This window comes from Homo sapiens, chromosome 4 (genome assembly GCF_000001405.40).
Source record: "Homo sapiens chromosome 4, GRCh38.p14 Primary Assembly".
Lineage (NCBI taxonomy): Eukaryota > Metazoa > Chordata > Mammalia > Primates > Hominidae > Homo > Homo sapiens.
In genome coordinates this window covers 26,089,111-26,111,239 of record NC_000004.12, presented here as the reverse complement: position 1 = coordinate 26,111,239, position 22,129 = coordinate 26,089,111, and the positions used below count along the sequence as shown (strand labels likewise).

At 41.1% G+C, this 22,129-nt stretch overlaps 1 protein-coding gene and 1 long non-coding RNA gene across 2 annotated transcripts in view, besides 1 other annotated feature; both read right to left on the bottom strand.

Moving 5' to 3' along the window:
• RBPJ (recombination signal binding protein for immunoglobulin kappa J region) overlaps positions 1-5,791 on the bottom strand; it is a 329,683-nt gene extending 323,892 nt beyond the window's left edge. Inside the window, exon 1 of the mRNA XM_047415656.1 lies at positions 5,462-5,791. The gene's annotated coding sequence lies outside the window, so the exon portion shown is untranslated. The remainder of the gene's footprint in view (positions 1-5,461) is intronic.
• Positions 6,983-22,129, bottom strand: part of LINC02357 (long intergenic non-protein coding RNA 2357) — a 33,504-nt gene continuing 18,357 nt past the window's right edge. The window contains exon 3 of the long non-coding RNA XR_925506.3: positions 6,983-7,195. This is a non-coding gene — a long non-coding RNA (long intergenic non-protein coding RNA 2357). The remainder of the gene's footprint in view (positions 7,196-22,129) is intronic.
• Positions 7,058-7,107: an enhancer, noted in NCBI's record as "active region_21387". NCBI's record gives its function as "activates an Ori minimal core promoter by ATAC-STARR-seq in GM12878 lymphoblastoid cells {active_cell/tissue: GM12878}" and the evidence as "EXISTENCE:reporter gene assay evidence [ECO:0000049][PMID:35858748]".

Sequence of the window (22,129 nt, the reverse complement as noted above, 5' to 3'; positions counted from 1 at the left end):
GTTTGAGACTCTCAATGAGAAGAGTTTGAAGGAGGGGGGCTGGGCCAATCACCTTTCTCTGACAGTAGAGTGGAGACAAGTGGTGGTTGTCTGAGCAAGCTGCATGTTGACGATAGTGAACCCCTTGGATGTGACTTCTGGAAGGAAGCCAGCCTAGAGTCATCCTCAAAGGGAGCTGGCTCAACAATCTTCTCATGGGGGAAGAGGGATTCTACCTTGGTAAGAGTTCTTAGTTGCAGATGACAGAACCACTGCCAGTCAGCCTAACTAGAAAGGAATTTATCAGAGGGCATTAGTGACTTAACAAAATATTGGGAATAAGTTCCTAGTCTGCTCCCCTAGGACCAAGTGTCAGAACCTCACCAGAGAGACTGTCCTGAGAAGGCAGCTGATGCCGGCCCTCCACTGACTCCAGGGCTGAGCGGCACCTGGAGACACCCACACCAGCATTATGGAAGCCACACCCACCTATGGACACACCCACCAGCACCGTGGAGGCCATGCCCACCTGCCTGTTTGCTCACGTTTAACTTCAGTGTGAAAGCCTCAACATGGTGCCTCTGATTCATAGAATCTTTGTCACTTGTTCATGCCCTGCACTAAGAGAACTGGAAAATGTTGTGTTTCCGGTTATTCTTTGGGAAGCTGAGTTCATACTGTTTGTGCATGCCAAATTATAAGAGGATGTGCAAAGGACAGTTGCCCACTTATCCTGATGGACAGGTTTTGGCTGCTAGAAGTCAGAGCTGAGTGGAGAGTTCAAAGCGGCCAGCTGAAGGACAGGAATCTAACCCTATGTCAAAAGGGTTAGATGTGGAGGTGCCCAGCAGGAGGTTTTCCAAAGAGACAGCCACAGAGCTACAGGAGAGTAAGAGTCTGCAGGGACATTCGCCATGCCACAGGGCACCAATGCCCTGAGTAGCTTCTCCCTTCAAGTAAGTCGTGTCCTCCATCCCCTCCTCCTGTCCCCCTATGCTGGACCCCAAAGGTCCATAATCAGAAACTAACGAATGGGGTAGGAGATGGAGTAAGAAGTACAGAGAAATTGAAATGTAAGAAGTACAGAGAAATTGAATTGTAAGAAGTACAGAGAAATTGACCCCCTTGCCTACGGTAGGGGTAAATTTCTACTGTGTTGGGGAATGGGTAAGTTTTAACTAGGGGAGGAGCTTGCAGTTTTGATTATTTGGTTATTACACTGGATGGATCTCCTTAATGTTTGAACATGATGTGAAGACCATTTTATTATCTAAGAATGACGGAGAAAGCTATGGGATCTCACTTAAGGTTTCATCCCAGAGTAGGGAAGAAGAGGGCCAAAGAGCACATTGATTGGGCAATGGGAGAATGAATAAGGTGATTCTGTCTGCTTTCTGGCAAGTCTGGTTTATTCAATCAGTTGGTTATAAGAATTATTGTTATAAAGATATATTTATTGTTGCTTCAACTTTAATCGTTTTTTTTAATAATGTCAATTGAGAATACAGGAGGAAGTATATATATATATATAGAGAGAGAGAGAGAGAGAGAGGAAGGTGGACAGGCACAGTGGCTGTATATATATATATATAGAGAGAGAGAGAGAGAGAGAGAGAGACAGAGAGAGAGAGAGAGAGGAAGGTGGACAGGCACAGTGGCTGTATATATATATATATATATAGAGAGAGAGAGAGAGAGAGAGGAAGGTGGACAGGCACAGTGGCTATATATATATATGTGTGTGTGTATATATATATATGTGTGTGTGTATATATATATATATATATATATATATATATAGAGAGAGAGAGAGAGAGAGAGAGAGAGAGAGAGAGGGAGAGAGAGAGAGGAAGGTGGACAGGCACAGTGGCTCATGCCTGTAATCCCAGCACTTTGGGCAGCCGAGGCAGGTGGATCACTTGAGGTCAGGAGTTCGAGACCAGCCTGGCCAACATGGTGAAACCCCATCTCTTCTAAAAATACAGAAATTAGCTGACATGGTGGCCATGCCTATAATCCCAGCTACTTGGAAGGCTAAGGCACAAGAATCATTTCAACCTGGAAAGTGGAGGTTGCAGTGAGCCAAGATCACACCACCGCACTCCAGCCTGGGCAACAGAGCAAGACTTTGTCTCAAAAAAAAAAAAAAAAAAAAAAGAGGAAGGCAAGAGAGACATTCCTAAATTCTTGTTGCTGGTGTTTTTAATCCCTTCTGGCTAGTGAGGAAGAGTAAGAATGAGGGATCAGCCTGGGTGTGGAGCTCACTTTCCAGACAAGGACAGACTTTATAGTGCCACTGTGCCATCCTCTTTATAAGTGTTAGTGTCTTTTATCCCCAGAAGAGCCCCAGGAGGTAGATATAATCACCCCTACTTTGTGGGTAAGGAAACTGAGCTTGGACAGGTTACACACTGTGTGCAAAGCCACATAGCTTTCAACAGTGGAGTGGGGGACTCAATCCCTTAATCTTACTTTACTGCCCAGTTCATTCTTGCTGAGTCTTAGAAGATGTGTCTATCCCAGTCTGGTTCCTTTAAGAGGCCACTCCCCTTACCAGAACATAGCTGGTTTTTATTGAGCACTTGATATTTAAGTCACTGTTCTATGCATTTTATGCTTTTCTCATTTAATACTCCCATAAACCCTATAAGATAGGTAATATTCCTCTCCTCATTTTACAAAATGCAGAGAGTCAGGCAAACTTGCCTGGAAACCATGCAGCTTGTAAGTGGTGGAGTGAGGGTTTATTTTCAGGCAACCTGGCTCTAGCGCAGACTTTGTTTTTTTGGCTTGGAATTCTGTCATTTTTCTCAGTATAGTGCAGACTCCTAACCACCAGGCTTTGACATCATGGAATGCACCAAGGCTGAATTAAAAGGCAAAGGGAACTGCCCACTGATTCTCAGCCTTCCAGGAAGAGAGTGGGAAGTCTTCTCTCTTCTGTCCCTTCTTCTCTTGCCTACCTCTGCAATTTTCTCCCACCTCGTGGGAGGGTTCAAGGAGAATTGTCACTTCCGTCTGAGCCCTGGATGCCATTCCCCATTCTTCCTCTAGGAGTTTGATCCAAATAAACCCTCTCTACCATGTCTTCAAAACCACCTCCTACTCTGATTTAAGAGCTAGTGGCAGAAAATGTCTTAGAGGACAAACTGTCTCCATGGCCCATTTTGCCTGGAGAAAATGTCATCTGGGCAGCCACACTGGATGAGGAGAGACATAAAAATGTAAATGGCTCAACAGAAGAAATAAAAAATAATTTGCTGAGGTTAGCTGTTGGGGAAGAGGAGGGTCTTGACACATTACACGATGAAGCAGGAGCCCAAGGAGGAGAAAGAACCAAAGGGAATCTTCTTTTTCTTTTTTGAGACAGGGTCTCTTTCTGTTGCCCAGCTTGGAGTACAGTGATGTGATCTCAGCTCACTGCAACCTCCGCTTCATAGGTTCAAGTGATTCTCTTGCCTCAGCCTCCCAAATAGCTGGGACTACAGGTGTGCACCATCATACCTGGCTAATTTTTGTATTTTTAGTAGAGATAGGGTTTCACCATGTTTGCCAGGCTGGTCTCGAACTTCTGACCTCAAGTGATTCCCCCACCTTGGCCTCCCAAAGTACTGGGATTACAGTTGTGAGCCCCCACACCTGGACCCAAAGAGAAGCATCTGAGGGCCACGTTGGCCAAGGGACTTTGAAGAAAGAGACTCACATTCAGTGCTGCGGTTTTCTATAACAAGCTACGCTATAATATCCGCTGTTTCCCAACCCTTGCGTGAAGTCTGCTGTGTGTTGTCTTGAACTGGTGGCACTTTGAGAAGCCAAACATTTGAAGTGGTGTCCTGCAGGCAGTACCTTGGGGAGAGGCACTGCTCTTCTGGAGGGTGGAAGCTGAGATGGAGGATAGAGTGGAAGCAGGGCCCTGAGAGGATTTGAGAAAACATGAGTTACCTCTCCTTTCCAAGGCACTTTGGTGTGTTAGGAGGAGTCCTGAATTTGTTAGGGCATGTGGGATGGGCACTTGAGACTATTTTTACCTAATTCACAATCCAACAGTGAACATTATTTGAATTATTTCAATACCAGACTAAACTTGACCTCAGCTACCTGAAGTACTTGGGATTGCCCAGAGTTGAATCTCTCCTTACCCCATGCTCTCAATTCTTTTTTACTACTGACTTTTCAACTCATTCTCAGTCTCTGCCTTCATAAGCCTCTCCCATTTACCACAGAATTTACTTTCTCCTCTGCTGTAACCTTGGCTCCATTTCCTGGCTTCTGTTTTTCTCTCTCCTTTGCAACTCATCAGTTCAAAAAGATTTCCTGGATAAAAAATTTCCCCTAGGTCAGTCAGCTCCTGGAAACCCCCCTTCTGTTTCCTTCTCCACCCTCACTCCTCATTCAGTCTCTCCCAGGTCCATGTGCAAAACTGGGAAGAAACTGGAATTTCTGTAGATGTAAGGGAGAGGGTGCATTGGTCAGAGTCCAGCTGCAGAGAGCAGAATACATTCTAGCCAGTTTAAAGGAGAAAGGGATTAAGGGGTATTCAGTGACTTACCAAATTACTGGGGAGGTTGTTTATAGGACCAGCTAGCAAAGGCATACTACAAAACAGCGACACCAAGGCAGCCACAGAATCTCCCATAAACATGATGCTACTCACAAAATTTGAAAGCTCCTGCAAAAGCTGCGTGCTCTAGAAATACCCCATCCGAGCCACAATCAGGAAGGCAGTAGAAATGGGATACACAGACAACAACATGACCAGGTGATATGCCATGATAAGGAAGTCCCTGCTATTTGGCAGCTTCAGAATTTTGACATATCTGCTACAATCCACACTTGTAAAATAGATGGCTGAGGCCTGGGTACTGAGACTATACTAATTCTGCCGTAGTGGTGTTTGCCTCCAGAAATAACAGAAGCAGAAGTGAGGCATTCATCTCACTAACCATCTCAAAGCTTTCACTAGTGATTCCAATTAGTAGAATCCAAATATCTAGAACTCTATTGCAAGATAGCCTGGAAAATACTGTTTGACTTTCTGACCCTCTGCTGTACAGGCAGACACACAAAAAGGCGGGAAGGGATGTTATGTTTGAATGAATTGTGTTTACTACAGTGGGTTATCTCTGCTCTTCAGTGGCTCTTCTGGATCCCCTTCTCTAAATAGATTTATTGCCCACCTCTTTGGAATGACAGAGGATAGTCCTGTTTGGCTCTGGGAAGGATGACTCATAATCAGGCTATTATTTATCACAGATTGCATCATAGCCTCTTCCAACTTGTTGCCACAAATTTAGTAATGGCTAAGGGTAGATAAATCGCACTCCATGACACTGGACCATTGCACAGATTTGCTTGCAGTCCACACCATAGATGGCATGGCGGCCACCTTGTAGATCTCTTTTTGGGGCAGAGATCAAAATCAGAAAGAATAAAACCCTTCAGACTTTTTTTCTAGGAAAATAAAAGTAACAGGTCAACTTACTTTCAGCACCATGTTTGAATGATCTTCATCTCTCTTGCAGCTGGAAACAGCACACACTATCTTTTCTCATGTTTTTGTTCTTGTTTTTTTGTTTCAATCTTTCCGTGTTCTCCAGTTATGTCCAGTTGGTTCTAGTCATTAGTAGAATCTTCCTGAGCTAGTCCAGTTCCACTGGAAACAGGAAATACTGGAAACCTCACTAGAAAACAGAGTCCACTTCTGGCCTAGTTTTGCCAGAGTTTTGATAAGCCTCCAAAGTTTTGGTTGTTTATTCAGATTGAGCTTCTGAATCTCTTGAGATTCACCCCTTGCAACTGGTAAGCCAACAGCCTGCAGGGAAAAAAAAAATCACACATTTTCTGGCCGATCCTTGGAAAAATGTCTGCCTTTTCTCTGCCAGATTTACCAATTTACATGTGCTCCAAAGCTGAGGCCAACTGGTTGAAACTGGAGAGCTAATTTTTAACAATTGAACAACAGTGAAAATTATTTGAATTATTTCAATACCGGACTAAAGTTTATTTATTCTTACTTAAGGTTAAAGGGAATATGTGGATTATTAAAAATTTTAGGGATTGAGCCCAAAAATACACTTTTCTGCAGGAGCTGGATTTTTTTAAAAGAAAAATATAATTTAAAATTTATAATAAACATCAGGGATTGGATCATAGAGTCAAAGTATTTGTATTTAGAAGGGAACTTGTGGGTTCCAATATTCCCGATAGGTTATCTTCTGTTATCTTGGGTAAGTGGGTGTTACTGCAAATATGATTTGGGTTTTCATCCAATGTTAGAAAATTCTTGGCAAAACACAAGGATGCATTTGTTTAGAGGAAGGTAATAACATTTATTACAAAAAAAACCCATGATATTAAAGTATCTCTTCATAAGGATTTGATGTTGGTTCAAATTGTGAGACTAGTTATATGAAGTTGTGAATGTTATACATTCTTTCTGAGTTTATTTCTTAATCAGTATGTAATTCAACCTTTTCTATTCTCACCAACATGTTGCTTAAAACAGCTGAATTTAAGGATGATAAAGAATATTCCATCAAGCCAATGGAATATTCCTCAAATATTTCTGAGAGTCTTAGGGTGCCTTTCATTAACCCCTATACAAATCCACTTAGCTATCACGTCAAACATCATGTGGAATGCACTTTTCTCTTTAATTTTTGATGGGTACCTTTATTTCTGATGGCTGCTAGTGAACAGTGCTGTCTCGTGATATGCAGCACCTCTCCAATGGTATATTTGTCCTGGTGTGGCCATCAATATACTGCATGCCTTGATGTGTCAAAACTATAAGGTGGTTTGTAGCTAAGTGCAGATAAGACTACCTCATTCTGTGTATTACTTAGGATGTTTGTGGTTGAGAATTAATAGAAAACTCAACCAAATATGGCTCAAACAAGTGGAAATTGTCTGTTGAACAATAAAGTAGGTGTCCAAAGGTAAGAAAGTATATGTATCTGTGAGGATTAGGTTAGGTAGCAAGAAACAGAGACTGAAACTAACAGTGGCTTAAACAAGCTTTGTTTCTCTCTCACATATAGGCCAGAGATAGGAAGGCCAGGGCTTCTATAATAACAGCACTCAATAGAATCTGGAGAAACTTTCGTCTTCTTCTAGACTCCTTCCAGCTCTGCCATTTCCTAAATCAGTGTGGCATTGTCCCCATGGGCTGAATTGGTAACTAGAGCTCCAGCCATTGTATTCATGCTCCCAGCAACTGAAAGAAGAGAAAGATGAAGATGTTCGTGACCCAGCATTCTTGTAATGGAGGTTCCCAGAAGTTGCCACATGACTCTTGTGTTTATATTCCCTCAGCCAAAGCTCAGCACATGGACACACCAAACTGCAGAGAGATGATATCTTTACTCTGGATGGCCAGGTGCTCAGCAAAACCAGCTTAGCAAAACCCCATGGAAAATGGGGAGAACAGTTTTGGGTGGAATTGTTTCTGCCAAAGCACCTTTCAGGTTGTTGACTACCATGGACTTCAACTCTGTTTTCTTGTGAGTCTCTTGGCTTTGCCTACTCAGTGTTCAGTTTTGTTTTAATTTGGTAACAAAACAATTGAAGCAGTTTCAGAACATGCCCGTTGTGACTGTGTGCAGAGAGAAGAGGTGGCTTCCAGACATTCTCCTAAAGGAATGTGAGATAATTTTCTCACAAGACCCTATCAAAGCTGGATGGAGTCTTGCTCACTTTTGAGCCAGTCAATGGCAAAGGGGTAAAGATTACTCCTAGATGGGTCAAGTGCACCCCCTGACTGGGGATGGGGCCCGTTTCCCCAGAGTAAGCTTCCTGGTCAAAAAGGAAGAGTAGATAACTGAACAAAGTTGGGGTTATGTTAGGAAAAACAAAGAGAGAGAATAGATGTTGGGCAGGGGACTCTCTGGTCTGGGCCAGAGAAGGGTGGCACTAAAGCCCACTGTTTCTGGCTCATGGGCACATGCAGCTTCCAGAGAAATGACTCTTAAAGTTTTATTTATTTATTTATTTACAGGGTCTCACTCTGTCACCCAGGCTGGAGTGTGGTGGCCCAAACATGGCTCACTGCAGCCTTGACCTTCCAGGCTCAAGCAATCCTCCCATCTCAGTTTCTTGAGTAGTTGGGACTACAGGCAGGCGCCACCACACCTGGCCAACTCTCTTTTGAAAATTTTTTGTAGAGATGGGGTCTTGGTATATTGCCCAGGCTGGGTCTTTGTGTTATTTATTAATGTAGTTGTTGTTTTCTTTTACATTCCCTTGCCGTCTCAGGACCCAGACATGAATCCTATGGATAGGTCCAGGGATGTCAATAGCAGGCACCACATTCTGCTGACCTCTAAAATAGGGTATTCATAACCTGGTCAAGATCACTGTGCTCAGCTCTCCCTTCCCTTAGTGTGAGTTTCCTGTCATAAATTTCTTCACTCTTTCATGCAAACAGATTCCACAGGGCATAGCAAGATGGAGAGAGCTCCTATCCAAGTTGAAACCTACATTATATATAAAATGGGAATAGTAGTCACTCATCCCAAAAGGTTGTTATGAAACTTAAATATATGGCCTTTGAGTGTAGGTTCTCACTTCTTCACACCATCAAATCCCCAGACAGCAGGATATAAAGCATGGTAGTAAATAACACATAGTTAAATGTTTTGGCATTAGATCAAACAAGATAGCACATGTAGATGCTTAGCATACAGTAGGCATTTTAAAAATGTGAGTTGTTTTCCTGCAGAGGCTCTTGATGTCATTTGTCACACCTATTTCAGGGGAATTTCAATACCTGTGGACTGTGTCCTGAGTTCCTGGTTTATATCTAACATCAAAGCCAAATTAATTTTTAAACTACCACCAAACTCATGTCCCAGGCTGAAACATATAGGAAGATGATTTCTTTAATTTTTTCCTGGGACAGGAACAAATCCAACAGCAAAGAAAGAGTATTCTTTCACTGTCACCCAGTGGAGAGAAGTTCTGTTGAGGTTGCAAACATGAAGAGTTGAGTCCAGTGTGGCGAGCACTAAGCAATATGGAAATCAAACAGCCCTGGGTAAATTGGCTTGACGCTTGCAGTAGTTATCGAAGGAAACATTATTTTAATGAAGAAAGAGGTCATTGTTAGTAAATGCGATTTAACTATAATGAGGTTGTAAAAACTTGCATTTTATTATTGATCCTACAAGAACTATAAGAAAAGAAATCATAGGAATTATAGGTGACTTTCTTTTTATTAGGCAATTATAGTTTTTTCAGACAAAGCATGGATGTTTTCTGAGGTGTTTAAACTTTGTCTAATCATGTAAAAATTATCATAGAGCATTTGCAGTGTTCTTTTTTTTTTCTTTTCTATTTTGAAGGGGAGTTGCCCTGTAGGTGCTTCGTATATTGGCCATAAAGTGTACTCTTAATGGTAAAGCCTCCCTGATGTAAGTTTATATATTTGTTCCCACAAGGCATTGGCATCTGTTAAATCAAATTGTATTAAGTTATTTGCTAGGAGCAATGTGAAAGTCTGCTTCATCCAATAGAGTTGATTTTATTTTTTTTATTCCCCAGGAAGATGACTTCAGTCAGTCATTCCATACCTAGGGTGAGATCGGGGTAATCACTCCCAGGAGTTGGTTAGAAGTTGGACTCCCCTCTCTCCTCAAGCCTTATTCAATGGTGGCTCCTCCCTGGGCCTGGAGCCTAGGCCCAATCTTGGGAAAGAAATTTCTCTGTAGAGTTCACCAGAAACGACGTAAAACTTACAAACCAGATTTTTTCCTTTGGAAAAGTTGCTAGCTTTTTACCAAGTTCTTTTACACATCAAAATAATTTCTCACTTCTGCATTATATTCACTTCTAATTTTGAATTTCTCATTTGCTCCTCCATGAGCATCCGTGGATCATGGTTTTGCAGTGATGAACAGGACCGAGAAGGCCTCTGCCCTCACATGGCTCATGTGTTGAAGAAAGAGACAGACTGAAATTGAGTAAAGAGAAAAGTAAAAAACTATGATAATAGCAGATCATAAAAGTGCTAGAAGAAAGTGAAACAAGATAAGGTGGTAAAGAGTGTTTGAGGGTCACATGAGCTGGAGTGCTCCAAAGGCCTCTCGGAGGAGGTGACGTTTGCTCTGGGACCTGGTTGAAGGTATTCTGTCACTCTCTACCTTAAATCACAGCCATTAATTTTAATCTTCCATTCTAGATTCTAAGTTCCTTAAGGGCACTGTCTTTCTCTAACTGATCTTTGTTTCCTCCAGAGCTCACAGCCTTATGCCTTCTACTTGGGAGGTGTTCAATCAACAGTCGCTAAATGAATGACAATGATCTCATATTGACCCATAAAGCCCTCAGAGCTAAGAATTGTTACCCACATATACAGAGTGGCCAAGTCACTTGATTAATGTAGTAAGTGAGGTACCACCACTCCATCATGCTTTTCTTTCTGGAAGCCCATAGATAGTTCTTTAGAGCAATGTAAATATAATTTTAGGTAGGGGATTTCATGCTTTTTGAAATTATGGAAATACCAGTTTAAAAAATACAGAACACCACTACAAGATCAAAAAGTTGACAATTCTTCACTCTGACTGCTGGGAGATGATGTTTTAGGTAGGATACAGAACAGGAGAATGAAACTATATCTAGGATATAGTTGTCAGTTTTTGAAGCCTCTGAGTGGAGAGCTACTTTAGGTCACAGACATAAAAGGTTTGGAAGTTTACAATTTAATTCTAATTATCTAGGACCTAGAAAAGTCCAACATTTTCCATGAAGTGGTACTGGGAAGTGGGGAAGTAGTATTGTGGAAATTCAGGATGCAAATGAGGAAAACCCTTCAGTTACCATCTGGTTTACACTGATATGACTTCATTGCTCTTTAGTGACATTTACTGGACTTTGTGAGATTCACCTTTTAACCTACATTGGTGTATTAGAGTTCTCCAGAGAAACAGAACCAATGGGATATATATAAATGAGGGAGTTGCTTTTATTACTAGGAATTAGCTCACACAATTATGAGAAGTTCCAAGATCTGCTGTCTGCAAGGTGGAGAGTCAGGAGAGCTGATGGTATAGTTGTAGTGCAAGTCCAAAGCCCTGAGAGGTAGGAGAGCTGATAGTGTAAGTTTCAGTCTGAGTCTGAAGGCCTGAGAACCAGAAGAGCTACTGGTGCAAGTTCCAGTCCAAGTCCCAGAAAAAAGGCTGGAGAACACTGATGTTCCAGCTTGAAGACAGTCAGACAGAGAGCAAATTCTCCTTTATTGAGTCTTTTGTTCTCTTTAGGTCTTCCATTGATTGGATGAGGCTCACCCACATTGTGGAGGTCAATCTGCTTTACTCAATCTATCAATCCAAATGTTACTCTCATCCAGAAACACCCCCACAGACATACTCAGAACAATGTGTAACCAAATAACTGGGCACCCTGTGGCCCAGTCAAATTGACACATAAAGCTAACCATCATAGATGGAAATCTATGGTTCTAAGGGAACCTATCCCAGGAAGATATCCACAGGTAGGGTTTTGCGAACTATTGATCAGAAGATAAACATTTCATTGCAGAAGGAAAATGTATGAAGCTTAGATTACAGCGATGGAATGTATTAAATTTGGGAATCTAGGAAAATTTGCACCAAAGAACAAGACATTGTGGGAGAGCAGAGAAGAGGCTGTTGGATGTTCGCATTATTTTGAGTGCAGCAGTGCAAAGAGCCAAGAACACAATGGGCATTCAGTTAGAAGGAGCATGCCTGGTACTGTCCCCTCGTGTGAATGACATTGTCATGAGAAAAGCCACCTGCAAATGAAGGAAGCTCTCATTAGGAGCGGGCAACAAGGAGTCCAGGAACATCAATTTGGGAAAGGTCTGTTGATGAATTTAGGGAAGGTTTATGTAATGAGCACAGGATCAGATTACAAGAATCTTATAGTGCAAATCCAAATAATTGTACTTGAGGATGAAGATTCAGAAACTTCTTGAACAATGCAGACCTGGTACGGTTCTTGCTGACTCGGTCGCAGGCAGTATAAACTTAATACACATTGCTTCACTTTTTCCACATTGTGTTTTTCCTGTACAGAGGGCACCAGGAACTATTCCTCTCATGACTTTATTAGATCAGCCTGAAGTATCAGCAACTATCCCAAAAGTTATGGGATAGGATAACTTGCTGCTATTACTACCTTTCCTGCTTCTCACTGCTACCCAGGAGAGTCTAGTCCACCAAAAATGGTTACAATCAGGTGATAGGCAACTTCCTGGTACTTACACCCTTGGACAATCCCCTTCCCCTGAGTGTGAGTTGGACTCACTAACTTTTAACAAATAGAATATGGCAAAAGTCATGAGATGTAGTTATGAAAAGATTAGGTTATAAAAAGACTGGCTTCCAGACTCTCTCATTCTCTCTTTTAGATCCCTTGGCATAAGGAAAGCAAGCTTCCCTGTTGTGAGCAGCCCTATGGAGAGGCCCATGTGGCAAGGAGCTGGCATCTCAAGCCAGCAGACAGCAAGAGCCTGAGGCCTGCCGACAGTCACGTGGGTAAGCAAGGAAGTGGACCCTTCCCCAGCTGAGCCTTCAGATGACTGCAGCCTCAGCTGACATCTTGGTTGCAGCTTCAGGAGATACCCTGAGTTGGAAGACTTCAGTTAAGCCTTAACTGGATTCATGACTCACAGAAACTGTGAAATAATAAATGTTGTTTTTAGCCGTTAAGGTGTGGGATAGTTATGCAACAATAGATAACTAATACATATAGAAAGAAGGGGAGATCAACAGAGATACATGAAAGAGAAAGAAAATACTTCAATGAAGACTTCCAACTTGCAGTAAATTATAAAACAGCACATCACTAAACCTACAGAGCTGTGCTTCTGAAAACCACACTCATCACCTGAGACATTTCTTTAAACTCTTTATAAGATGTAAGGGACTTAGTACTCCTAAAAATATTTTTCTGCTTTCTATCACTTTACTGATATTCTCTGTTTAGGGAGAAATTGTTCTTACATATTATTCTTTACTTATTTAGACAATTTCCTGGGTTCTTTGAACATATTTAAAACAATTGATTTGAAGGCTTGGTCTAGTAAGTCCAAAATCTAGGCTTCTGCCGAGACAATTTCTATGACTACTTTTCTTCTCTGTGTGTAGGCCATACTTTTTTGTTTCTTTGCACATCTTGTATTTTTTTGTTGTTGAAACTAGGCATTTTAGATAATATAATGTGGCAACTCTGGAAATCACATTCTCCTCCATCCCCCTGGATTCACATTGTTGTATTGTGATATGGCTTAGCTATGTCCCCACCCAAATCTCACCTTGAATTGTAATAATACCCTTGTGTCAAGGGTAGAGATAATTGAATCACTGGGGGCCATTTTCCCAATACTGTTCTCATGGTAGTGAATAAGTCAAATGAGATCTGATGGTTTTATAAATGGGAGTTCCCCTACACAAGCTCTCTTGCCTGCCACCATGTAAGACGTGCCTTTGCTTCTCCTTTGCCTTCTGCCATGACTGCGAGGCCTCTCCAGCCATGTGGAACTGTGAGTCCATTAAACCTCTTTCCTTTATAAATTATCCAGTCTCGGGTATGTCTTTATTAGCAGAGTGAGAACAGACTAATACATATTGTTTCTCCACTTTGTGACTTCTCTGAATTAATTCTGTCAAGTCTGTATTCCTCATCGTCATTAATTCCTTTATTGTTCTGCCCACCCACCAATATTCATTAGCAAGTCATTAGGAGAACCTCTCAGCTCTAGCTCTAAAATCTGTGCCCTTTCCTCCAGCTGCACTGCTACCACTCCAGCCCAAGACACCTGCTTCTCTCTTCTAGGATTCTCCCCAATGGACTTCTTGCTTCTGCCTTACCCTTCCATCTTCTGTTCTCCCCACAGCATCCAGGATGGTCTTAGGTTATAAAAAGACTGGTTTCTACTTGGTATCCTCCACCAAGGCTAGTACTGTGCTTTGCACATAGTAGATGTTTAATCAATGTCTACTTACACACAGTAAATACACTTCTGTTACTCTTCTGCCTATTCCCCTCCAGTGGCTTCCCTTCCAGAGCCCCTGAGGGCCTGGCTGATGCGGCCCCTCTCTACCTCTCACATCTCCTGTCCTTCCACTCTTTTCCTTACTTCCTGTACTCCAGCTCCCTGGTTTTCCTTCAATTGCTCAGACACACCAGGCTGACTTTCATTTCAGTGTTCTTCAACTTTATCCTTTCTTGCTTGGAACATTCAGCCCAACACCTTCTTGTGATTACCTCCTTTGTATTAGGGACTTCTCAGCTCCACTATCACATGCTCAGAGAGGCCTTCCTTACCATGCTGTCTAATGGAGAGACTCTCTCCAAGTCCATTTCAACCCCATGGTCCTGTCTGATGACAATCACAGCAGCTGTTAGTTTGGAAATTATCTTGTTTGTTTAATTGGTTGTCATAGTGATACTCTACCTTTTTCTTGAGAATATAAACATCACAGGAGCAGGGATCTTAACTGTATTATTTCCCAGCATCTGGACAAGTGCTTAGCACATAGAAAGTAATAAGTGCTCAATAAGGTATTTGTTGCATGAATGAAGGAATAAATGAATGGGCATACATGCTAAAGTAGTAAAGCAAAGTGTGTGGGCTCAGATCCACATTAGGAGGAAGGACTGAAATAGTAATAGTAGCCATAGTAATAACTACTATAAAAATATCAGATATGACTAGTCTCTGGGAGCGATCTTCATTGTCATCTCATTTTCCATGAAAGAAAACTTGGTTTTTTGTCACATCCTCCCTCCACCAAAAAAGAAAAAAAAAAAAAAATCAAATTTTACCAAGTTTTAGTCAGTAACAGTAAATATAGCACTCGGCATGTGCCAGGCTTATTACAAGCCTCTTGCATGCACTAACACATTTAACTCTCACAAGAACTTTATGGGGTAGGTGCTATTATTATCTTTGTTGTACAGATAAGGAAACCAAAGCATGAAGATGTTGGATTAAATCATGCAGAGTTGCATAGCCCAAAGTCACCGAGCCAGAGGTGGGAATGGAGCCGGGGCGGGGGGGAAATGAGGCACTCTGGCTCCTGAACCTGTGTTCTTAGCCACCACACCAAGGGCTGAGCTAGTGAAGACACTGGAGAGAAATGGTGGAGAGTGGTCCATCACACGGAACAAGGCACAGTAGTAGAAATCCCTGCTAACCCTCTTAATTCTTCCTGTGTTGTTTCGTTTCAGCCAATAGCTGCTCTGTTGCCTCATCAGCTCCCCGAAATGGACCCTGTCACTTGATGGGGACGATTGCCTTCTAATCACACTAATCACACTCATCATTCCACTTAGTATGGATGTTCAAAGGATCCTCCCTTAGAACTAGTGGAGGATGATAAATTACTTTTCCCAACACAAATTTGTTTATTCCACTGTCACAAGAATAATGATATTCAAGTATTAGGATTCGGGGTTGTGGTTGTGAGAGATGTAATAACGTTTATCTTTCTAGTTTGGTTTCTTCCTCTAAACAAAAAAGTATCGTAATTCCAATTAAATTTCTCTTCCTTCTCTCCTTCTCACCTTCCTTCCTTCCTTCCTTTCCTTCCTTCCTTCCTTCCTCCTCCTTCTTCTTCCTCTTCTTCTTTTCTCTCTCTCTCTCTCCCCCTCCCTCTCTCTCTTTCTCTTTCTTTAATATGAAATGGGGTCTTACTACATTGCCCAGGATGTCAAACTCCTGAACTCAATAAATCCTCCTGCTTTAGCCTCCTGAATAGCTGGGATTCAGGTATGAGCCACCGTGGTTGGCTTAAATATACTTCTTGACCACAGAAAAACTGTTTACTCTCTGGCTTTGTCCTTAGTTGTATCTGAGAAACAAAGGTATCCCATAAAATAAAGACAAAAGCGTAAATTAGAAAAGGAAGAAGCCAGAGAAATGCAAATTAAAACCACAATGAGATATCATTTTATACCAGTCAGAATAGCTATTAATAAAATGACAAAAAACAACAAATGTTGGCAAAGATGAGAAAAGGGAAGGTTTTATACACTGTTGGTGGGAATTAGTATAACCTCTATGGAAAATAGTATGGAGATTTCTCAAAGGACTAAAAATAGAACTACCATTAAAACCAGCAATCCCACGATTGGGTATCTGCCCAAAGAAACAAAAATCATGACACAAAAAAGACTTGTATGTTTATTGCAACACCATTCACAATAGCAAAGATATGGAATCAACCTAAGTATTCATAAATGGAGGACTGGATAGAGAAAATGTGTTACATACACAGTGGAATACTATTCAGCCAAATAAAAGACTGAAAGCATGTCTTTTGCAGCAAGATGGGTGGAATTGGAGGCCATTATCTTAAGTGAAGCAACTCAGAAACAGAAAGACAAATATTGCATGTCTTCACTTATAAGTGGGGGTTAATAATGTGTACACATGGACATACAGTGTGGACTGACAGACGATGGAGACTTGAAAGGCTGGGGGTGCTGGGGGTGAATGATGAGAAATCACTCAATGGATACAATGTATGTTATTTGGGTGATGGATACATTACAACCTCTGACTTCACCATTATGCAATAGATCCTTGTAACAAAATGACACTTGTACCCCATAAATTTATTTAAAAATTTTTTAAAAGAAACTGGCACAGAAATAATATCCTCTAGTAACCATTAAGTGTGAAAAAAAAATGCTTGAAAATGTTGACCCTTGGGAAGGAGGGATATTGAAGGTCTTGGCATGTGTTCCTGTCTATGAAACACATTAAGTCACAGACATGTCTCCCCCACCCACATAAACTGAGGAACATCTATCTGTTTAGGAAATAAGCTGTCCTAGGTAACCACCACTCCCATCCTACCACCCTTGGCCTTTTGCTTGGTGGCCTGGTTTGTCCCTGGGCATGCCCACAGACCTCTTAGCTCTAGATGTGATGATCAAAGGGAAGGTCTTAGCTCATCAACCGTGGGACCCAGAATGACCTGCTCTGGATAAGCCTGAGCAGCTCAGGAGGGACCTGGCATTTTGTCAAGTATATGGGCTAGAAACTAGAGTATTGCATTTATTTAGGCAAAGGCATTAAGCCGCAAGTATTTCACTTGATAAATTGGGTGATTTAGACCATATTTATACTCTGGATTTCTGGGAAACAATAACAAAGCATAATAATCAAATGTAGAAATTTTTGAGGATGAAATCATTTTTATAGAATGTTAACTTTGGAAAGCCCTTCAAGGTCTTCCAATGCTGTCCATTTACCAAATGGAGGAAGAGCGAGATCTGGAAGTAAACTGACTTGCTGTAGCTAGCTGGTGGCAAACTAAGCCTCAGAAAACCCAATACAGTGCCCCTTGCACCACAAGATGCCACTCATCACAAAAACTTGATTTCACCCAGCGTTCCAGCAGAATCATGTGGACTGAATAATAGCTGGTGCCACACATCAGCCCAAAGACGGTCATTTGTAAAAAGCCAAGCCCATCTAGAGCTTAACTAAAAAGCACAAATGTGGTAATGGAACATTCCTCTTGATCTCATGCTCCCAGTTACCAAATGTCCTATTACTTCTATTTCCTTTTTTAGACACTTGGTTACAAGAGATGTCTGTACCTGTTGTTTCCTCTTGTTTTCACCGTCTATGACTAAGTAAAATTTCCTGGCTAGACATCTCTTTAACCCCCTGTAAATTGGCTTCTTTTTTTCACCACTTTGATAAAGCTGCTTTGGCAAAGGTCATCGACGGTTTTAATTACCAGAGATGATGGCAGATTTCCATACCTTTCCTTTTTTTTTTTCTAGAACTCTCTGCTGCATGTGCTACTGTTGGTCTTTCCTCCACCTTGCAGAGGTCCTCCCTGGCTACCTATGAGGTTGCTTCTTGCTCTCTTCCTATTTCCTTGAACATTTCTTCTCTGTCTCCTTTTGCAGTCACCTCCTAACCACCTAAAATTCTTGTTCACCCCAGACTTGTTCTTGTTTTATTATTTTACTGCTTTCTTGGAGATATTTCAGTCAACCTCAATGTTTTAATCTTCATCTGTTTTGGTTATATGTTGCTACAACAGACCACCTGAAATTTAGTGGTTTCAAACAGTAACAAATTAGTATCTTCACAATCTTTTGGGTTACCTGGGTGAATATTCTTTGTGCAGTATTGGCTAAGGTGCTAACAGGGTTGATTGCTCAAAAATAGCCTCACTCATATAGCTGAAAATTGGTGCTGGCCACTTTACTGAGACAACTGAGGACCTTACTATTCTTTTTCTTTTTTCTTTGTTTTTTGACAGGGTCTCACTTTGTCACCTAGGCTGGAGTGCAGTGGTGTGATCTTGGCTCGCTGCAGCCTCGACCTCTCTGCTCAAGCAATCCTCCCACCTCAGCCTCCTAAGTAGCTGGTGAGACTACAGGTACACGCCACCATGCCTGGCTAATTTTTGTATTTTTTGTAGAGACAGTTTTCCTCATGTTGCCTAGGTTGGTCTTAAACTCCTGGGCTGAAGTTATCTGCCCACCCCAGCCTTCCAAAGTGCTGGGGATTATAGGTATAAGCCACCACAGGCAGCCATTATTCTTCTATATACTACTCTCCTCATGGCTGCTTGAGATTCCTTACAGATGAGGGCTGTGTTCCAAAAGGAAGGAGTCTGTGGAAGCTGCTGGTTCTCATAAGACAGATTTTAAAGTTCCATCTGACACTTCTGCGCTATTGTATTGGTCAACACAAATCACAAGGCCAGCCCAGTGGAAATAATCTACATTTATTGATAGGGAGTGGTATTTGTATGCAAGGAGGGAAGCAATTGATAGTGGACATATTTGGAGATTATCTACTATGTACTCTCATGTGCAAAATTCACTCCTCCCTCAAATTCTCATTCCATATGGAATCAGCTCCAAAAAAAAAAAAAAAGGAATCAGCTCAAAGTTTAGGACAACATCAGTTCAAACAGGCATTAGTGAGGATGAGGCATCCCTGGTCTACTCCTTGAATATAGCTTTTCAGCTGTGGTTTCTTGGATGTGAAGATCCATGAAACAAAAAAATCAGATGAGGCTGGGCGCGGTGGCTCACGTCTGTAATCCCAGCACTTTGGGAAGCCAAGGCAGGCAGATCACTTGAGGTCAGGAGTTTGAAACCAGCCTGACCAACAAAACCCAAAACCCCATCTCTGCTAAAAAGACAAAAAAAAAATTAGCTGGGTGTGATGGCACATGCCTGTAATCCCAGCTACTTGGGAGGCTGAGGCACAAGAATTACTTGAACCCCAGGAGGCAGAGGTTACAGTAAGCCAAGATCACACCACTGCACTCCAGCCTGGGTGAAAGAATGAGACTCTCACAAAAAAAAAAAAAAAAAAAAGTCCCAGTGATCTCAGAAGCTAACATAAAATTGTGGAAAAAAGAGAATAAAGCAACAATGTTTCTGCTCAAAAAAAGATGAAAACAGGAGACACATGGCCCTACTGTTCTTAGCAATTTTGAAACTCAATTAGGCACATATGGCCATTTTCTCTGATTCCAGGGGTAGAGAACATTCCCTAATTAAGAGTTCATTTCTGAACGGTATGGAGATTCCTTAAAGAACTAAAAGTAGAACTACCATTCCATCCAGCAATCCCACTACTGGGTATCTACCCAAAGGAAAAGAAGTCATTATTTGAAAAATACACAGGAAAATGCATGTTTATAGCAGTATAATTCACAATTGCAAAAATACTGAACCAATCTAAATGCCCATCAGCCAACAAGTGGATAAAGAAAATGTGGTATATATACCATGGAACACTACTCAGCCATAAAAAGAGATGAAATAATGGATTTTGCAGCAACTTGGATGGAGCTGGAGGCCATTGTTCTAAGTGAAGTAACTCAGGAATGGAAAACCAAATTCTCACTTACAAGTGGGAGCTAAGTTGTGAGGACGCAAAGGCATAAGAATGATATAAAGAACTTTGGGGACTCCGGGTGAAGGGTGGGAGCGGGGTGAGGGACAAATGACTATGTATTAGGTACAGTGTAAACTGCTTGGATGAAGGGCACACCAAAATCTCAGAATCACCATTAAAAAACTTATCCATGTAACCAAAAGCCATTTGCACCCAAAAACTATTGAGATAAACATTTTTAAAAATTTAAGCAGTAAGTATAATAATAATTTGAAAAGATCTGGAAGTCTTTGATCCACGCGGAATAGCGTATAAACTCTTTTTTTCAGAAAGCTGTTTGTCAGCAAACATCGTTATGTCCCCTTCCAATGTTATCAAGAACCTAAAACATGTAAGATGCACATAGTTTCAAATAAAATCAATAAACAATGAAAAGAAAGCGTTTGTTTCTGCTCCTTGTGAGTGATTTTCCATGGCTGTTAGCTCTTCCCTCTGGAATCTTGACTTCTCCTTCTAAATTGCCCTTCCTCTCCTATAAGAAATGCCCTGTGTTTGTAGCCTGCTTCTTTCATTAGGAAGTCTAGGGTCCTGGGACCTCTTTTTATTTTCCACTATCTTTCCCTTTGAGTTAAAGCGATATAATTCCTTTAAAAAATGTTGTGGGCTTCCTGTGTATCAAATTATAATCCATACCTAAGACAAAAGAATATCTGTAAGTCTCTTTGAGACAGAACCCTCAAGTCAGTGTGTGGTGAGGCAAAACATTTATAATTCTCAGAAGTGCTACTGTCTGATTAGGAGGGTCTAGAAAATCCCTTTAGCTATTTGTCTAATTGGGAGGTCCATGAGGCATCACTTTAAATCTTGCTGATATTTCAACAAAGGTTCTCACAACCATAGCCCTGATCTGTTCTTTACCTGGAAGCTATGTTTTCTTGGATTTGATTTTTGTCCTTTGGTCATTTCTTACTTTGGGAATCATTTGTTTTCCAGATAATCTGTGAATATAAAATTGTTTAAAAAGATTCCCATCAAGCAAGCCTTGCCTTGGAAATATTGCCTCTAAATTCTGCTTGAAAACCAATCAGTTCTTTCTTAAGCTCATCTCACTCCTCCCTACTTAAAAAAAAAGCTGCCATTCTGCTTGGAAATCTTCTTAGCCAGATACACACATTTATAGGTGTTCTTTCTATCTTTCCTGTCACTGTGGGCAACATTTCACCAATTATTCTGCCAATCCATAACCATGTCCCTGTTAAATTAAATTTGGCCTTAAGCGTCCTCCACACTTTGAATCCTATTGCAACCTAACTTAAGAGTATATTCTTGTAACAAATAGCTGAGTCTCAGCCAACCACGGCAGCCAAGCTTTCGTTAATTGCAGGCTGCCAGCTCCCTGTAACGTCCTTGAGAAAAGAAATCACATCCTAAGAGAAGCTATGTTATAGTGATATAAAGCCCATAATCTGGAGGCGTAGTGTCTGCATTGACATCTCATCTCTACTGTTTACTATCTGGATAATTCCAGGAAGGCTACATAGCCATTTGGTGCCTTGTTTCTGCATCCATAACATAGGCATAATACTAACAGGTAAGTACCTTACAGGTGTGTTATGAAGATTAAATGAGTTAATACATCTATTTTAAATAAGCAGTATCTGGTACCTGGAAGGAGGATAGGAAACACAAGTTATTCTTATTAACGATGATGATTTATTCAGTACCTAGTGCTTAATAAATACAGATGCTCCTGATACTAATAGGTAAGTACCTTAAAGGTGTGTTATGAAGATTAAATGAGTTAATATATATATTTTAAATGAACAGTGTCTGGTATCTAGAAGGAGGATAGGAAATGAGCTATTCTTAATGTTAACGATGATTTTATATTCAGCACCTAATGCTTGATAAATACAGATGCTCCTCAACTTACTATGGGGTTTCTTCCTGATAAACCCATCATAAACTGAAAATATCATACACTAAAAATGCATTTAATCCACCTAACCTACTGAAGCTCATAGCTTAGCCTAGCCTGCCTTAAACATGCTCAGAACACTTACAATGGCCTATAGTTGGTCAAGCTCATCTAACACAAAGCCTATTTTATCATAAAGTGTGGGAAAGCTTGGCGATTTATTGAACAGTGTACTGAAAGTGAAAAACAATATTGTATAAGTACTCCCAAGTATAGTTTCTACTGATTATGTATCATTTTGGCACCACCAAAATTAAAATATCAGAAGTGAACCATTGTGAGCCTGGGACTATCTATGG